The 5,623-nt window shown below is 40.1% G+C and overlaps 1 pseudogene; it reads right to left on the reverse strand.

Moving 5' to 3' along the window:
• RPL7AP27 (ribosomal protein L7a pseudogene 27) lies at positions 290-1,019 on the reverse strand (annotated as a pseudogene).

Below are 5,623 nucleotides of genomic sequence, written 5' to 3' on the forward strand. Positions count from 1 at the left end.
GATTTTTAGTAGAGACGGGGTTTCACCACGTTGGCCAGGCTGGTCACGAACTCCTGACCTAATGATCCACCTGCCTCGGCCTCCTAAAGTGCTGGGATTACAGGCGTGAGCCACCGCACCCGGCCTCAAAAACCTGCACTCTTAAGAAGCATTTTAGTCTAAGAAAAGATTGACATATATAATTGCAGATTTACAAATAACTGCAATGCAGTAAATTACAGTTACTATAAGAGCATCCTTATGTCGGAGCTCAGTGGAATGCCTAGGGCTTGGTGTGCCTTAGCTTTTTAAGGAAAATTTGTATTATTTTAATTATTTTTATGTACAGAAAACTCAACAGTGTACATTTAACCAAGTTTAGTGGGAATTTCTTTAGCCTTTGCCTTTTTGAGCTTTGGTGCAGGTCTTCCTGTAGACTAGACATCCCAGTCTTGCCTTCCCCTTGATAATGCAGTAAGGGACCCCCATTTTACGACACAGGGCAGGCAGAAAGGTAACCAGCTCGATGGGATCCACGTCGTGTGCAATCACCACCAGCTGAGCTTTCATGTTCTCCACCAAGGTGGTGACGGTGTTAACTCCGGCTGGAAGGACAGGTGGTCTCTTAGTGGGGACGTCCCCTTTGCCGGCAGCTTTCTTCTCAGCTGGGGCCAACAGCCTCTGCCCCTTCTCTTGCTTTGTCTTTAGTCTGTACTTGTGGGCCAGCTTAAGCAGCTGAGTAGCTGTTTGGCAGTCCAGGGCCTGGGCGAACTGGTCAATCGCAGGAGGCACTTTCAGCCGCTTACAGAGGATGGCTCTCTGCCGCTGCAACCTGATATAGCAGGGCCGTTTCACAAGGTGGGCGAGGTCTCTTTTGGGTTGGATGTCCTGTCCAATGCCAAAATTCTTAGGCCTTTTCTCAAACAGGGGATTCACCACTTTCTTGGCCTCCTGCTTCTTCATGACCGCAGGGGCCGGAGCCACCTTCTTCCCCTTGGCCTTCTTTCCTTTCGGCATCTTGAGCGGCGGAAAGAGAGAGACGCCCTTTTTCTTTCTTTCTAGACTCTCGCTCCCATGGACTTTTGGTAGGTGCACTAGATAGCACACACGGTTTTCCCTTGAAGCAAGGCATTTCTGTCTGGTTGAAAGCACACTCACGGCCTCTAAATGCTTGTCATGCAGTCTGCAAACAAGATGTTTAAAGGAAGTTGAAAACTCATGTTTCTCCTTGTGGAAGTTCATCCCTCTTTCTGCACAAGGTGGACTACAAGAGGTCCTTCTGGCTGGACCAAACTTATTTTCAGGAAGCAGCTCTGAATCTGTAGAAAAGCTTGAACATTACTAGTTCTCAGAGTGATGCTGCATAATACAAGAAGAGGCTACCTTCATTTGATGTTCCTATGATTACTGTATGTCCGCCTCTACCGTGATACCGACTTGCTAAGGATTGCTAACATTTAGGCATACTTGCATCGTAACAACTTAACAGTTTAACTTTGACTACAAAGGCCAGTGAAGGGATCGTCTACTATAATTTTCAATTACGTTGAAATGTTTCCACAATAACTATCTTTAAACACTTTATGTGTCTAGAAATGCAGGTTACTTGGTGAAATCTAATCTCGATGGAAAGCTTTGATGCTCTGTATCAAATGAAAACCAATTTAAGCCATCTATGCTGCACATTAATATTAAGCAATTATATTAACTGAAAGCACTGTGAATACATGAATTGCTTTCATTAAAAAAAGATTTCCTTAATTACCTTCTAAGCAAATATTCTCCACTAAACTTTTTAAGTATTTGCAATACTCAAATAAAATAGGTAATGGAGATGTCAATTTACATGAAATACATATTTCTAAAAATCTAACTTGCATTGCAAGTTTAAAATATGTTTACAAAATCCAGAATTAAATATAATTTTATAAGGCTATTTTTATTTGGATACTGTTATGTTATTCGGAGAAAACAGTATTTCTTGTTTTTCATCCTTTACTAGCTCAAGGCTTGTCAGGATGCCACTCATATCATATTGTGATGTTATGATGTATGCCCATACCACTTTCTGTCTCAAGGAAAAGGTCTGTCTCCTCTTATCCACATTGGCCGCTGTGCCCATCTCTCTGGTTTCCATCTTGCTGGCACTAAGGTAGCCCCTCATGTTCACAGAGAAGAAAGGCTGAGGAGGTACATGGGTTTTTTGTGACCGCAAGCTTTTCAGTGCTTGTGTGACTCTAACTTCTGTGAAATTTCTTGATTTTCCTCAAGTAGGACTTCAGGGATTCATGGAATATAAAAGATGGAGCTAAAACAGACTATTTCCCACATGTTCTTAGGCTTAAATGTTGAAGTGTAAATGTTTAAGTTGTATTTATTTATTTAGGACAAATTATAATTGCATGTAATTGTGGGGTGCACAATGATGTTGTGATATATGCCCACAGTTTAGAATGATTGAATCAAGCCAATGACATATCCATCTTTTTTTTTTTTTGACAGAGTCTTGCTCTGTTGCCCAGGCTGGGGTGCAGTGGCAGGATCTCAGCTCACTGCAACCTCCACTTCCTGGGTTCAAGTGATTCTCCTGCCTCAGCCTCCCAAGTAGCTGGGACTACAGGTGCACACCACCATGCCCAGATAATTTTTTTTTTTGTATTTTTTAATAGAGATGGGGTTTCACCATGTTTGCCAGGATGGTCTTGATCTCTTGACCTTGTGAGCTGGCTGCCTCAGCCTCCCAAAGTGCTGGGATTACAGGCGTGAGCCACTGTGCCCGGCTCCCCATTTTAAATATATATCATTTATTCCTCCTGTTTAAAGCTTAATACCCTTTGACCGACACCTCTCATTTTCCCTACCCTCCAGCCTCTGGTAACCACCGTTCTACCCTCTGCTTCTGTGCATTTGACTTTTTAAAATTCCACATGAGTGAGATCACAGGGTATTTGTCTCTGTGCCTCACTTATTTCACTTAACATAGTGTCCTCCAGGTTCATCCATGTTGTAAATGAAATAATTTCTTTCTTTTTCTTTTTTTCTTTCTTTTTTTTTTAAGGCTGAAGAACATTCCATTGTGTGTATATATCTCATTTTCTTTTTCCATTTATCCATTGATTGACACTTAGATTGATTCCATGACTTGGCTATTGTAAACAATGCTGCAACAAACATGGAAGTGCTGATATCTCTTAGACATATTAATTTCAAGTCCTAAGGGTATATAGTTAGAATAGGGTTGCTGGAACATATGGTAATCCTATTTTTAGTTTTCTAAGGGAACTCCACACTGTTTTCTGTAATGGCTGTGCTAATTTATATTCCCACCAGTGTACAGTGTTCCCTTTTCTTCACATCCTCACCATCACGGTTGTTATCTTTCCTCTTTTTGTTGCTAGCTCTTCTGATAGATGATATATCATAGTTTTAATTTCTATTTCCCTAATGATTAGTGATATTGAGCATTATATATATATATATATATATATATATATATATATATGTATATATGTTGGCCATTTGCATGTCTTATTTTGAAAAATATTTATTCAGTTTCTTTGCCCATTTTTAAATTGGATTTTTTTTTTTTGCTATTAACTTTTTTGAGCTCCTTATACATTTGGGGTATTAGTTCCTTATATAATGTATTGCTTGTAAATTTTTTTCTGATCTGCAGATTGTCTCTTCACTTGTAGTTGTTTTCTTTGTTGTGCAAATATTTTTTAGTTAACTGTAATCTTACTTGTCTATTTTTGTTTTTGTTATTTGATCTTTTGGAGGTCAAATAAAAAAAAAAAAAAAAAAACATTGCCCAGACCAGTGTTGTGTAGTTTTCTCCTCTGTGTTTTCCTAGTACTTTTTATAATTTCAGGTTTTACATTTAAATCTTTAATTCATTTTGGGTTTATTTTTGTATACTCTGTGAGATAGGGTGGGACTAATATTATTCGTCTGCATGTGAATATCTCATTTTCTCATTGTCCTTTATGGGAGAGATTGTTCTTTACGCATTGTGTGTGTTCTTGGCATTTTTATCAAAGTCAATTGACGAAGGGCATCGGTTCATTTTTGTGCTCTCTATTCTGTTCCATTGGTCAGTGTTTCTGTTTATACTAGTGTCATGCTGTTTTAATTACTATGGCTTTGTAATATAGTTTGAAGTCAGGTAGTGTAAGACCTCTAGCTTTGTTCATTTTGTTCAAGACTGCCTTGGCTAGTCAGGCTTTTTTGTGTGTGTTTCTGTATGAATTTTACGATTTTTTTTTCTATTTCCATTTGCATGAAATATCTTTTTCTGTTACTTCACTTTTAGTCTATTTGAATCTTTAATAGTGAGGTAAGTCTCTTGTAGGTAGCATATAGTTGGGTTTTGTTTTTATACATCCTATTTCTTTGTCAAGCTTCTCATTTTGTATTATTTTTCATATTTTATTTAATCTTCTATCCTTATATTCTTATAGCTGACTGAACTTCTTTAAGAGAACTATATTAATTTTTTGTTAGTTATTTCATAGCTCTCCATTTCTTTAGGGCCTATTGTTGAAGCTTTATTTGTTTCTTCTGGAGATGTCATTATTCTGATTCTTCATAATCTTTGTGTCCTTACATTGGTGCTTGTGCATTTGAAGAAATGGTCACCTCTTCCGTCCTTTACAGGTATTCTTTGGCAAAGTTATACTCTCACTGAAGTCTAGCCTGTGATTCTAGGTCGGCTACCTGGTAATGGCGCTAAGCAGGTAGAGCTTGGCGTTAGACTCTCTAGCTTGCTGAGCCTCTGCCTTTGCTTTGAGATCAGATGGATCTGAGCTCTTCTATTTGGTGAGACCACTGGCTGGGTTCTGCAATCAGGCAGAGATGGTAGCTGGGTCCTCTGATTGGATGAAGACACAATGTGTATTCCCTAGTTAAATGGTACTGCTGTTTGACTTTTGGAATTTGGGTAGGGCTGCAGATTGGGTCCTAAGCTTAGGCTGAGTCACTGATTGGGAGAGTCAGGATCAGCTGCTAAGTTTGGCAGAAATGCACAATATTGAGGTTTACTTCCCTGCCTGGATGTAGCTTTGGTGTGGGATTTGAGGTTGAGGTGAGCTGCTATTTGAACTCCCAGACTGGGGTGGTCTAGCCCCTGTATGTAGCCAAGATATGCCATGGTGGGTGTCTCACTCCATGAGCAGGGTCTTCTTGGGTCTGGTTCTTGGGATGGACTTTTAGGTTGAGCCAAACTCCTCTTAAATGCCCAGGTGGTGCAAGTATAGTCCCTGTGCTTTGCCAAAATACTCTGTGGTAGGTATCTCTCTTCTCAGCAGGAGGAAGTTGGGGGAAGCCTGAAGCTGAGCATGGAGGCTGAGCATCTAGGGATTTAAGCTAGATTGATCTTTCCACTGTGCTTCTGGGGTAACCAGCTTAGCTTTGCAGGTGGGCTATGGTACTCCCACCTATGTGGTGCTGTTTAAGAGGCTACTACTGGTACCTCTCATCAGGTGCCTCTGCTGACAGTAATGCAGAGCTACCACCAAGATACAAGCCCTGTCTACTGTGAGTAACATCTCCTTTCTTTGCTTGTATTTGACCCCAGGTGACCTAGTCATGCCATGATCCCATGTTTCCCATGAGGTGAGAACAGATTGGGCTTCCTGAGAGGCAT

This window comes from Homo sapiens, chromosome 4, assembly GCF_000001405.40.
Source record: "Homo sapiens chromosome 4, GRCh38.p14 Primary Assembly".
Taxonomy (NCBI): Eukaryota; Metazoa; Chordata; class Mammalia; order Primates; family Hominidae; genus Homo; species Homo sapiens.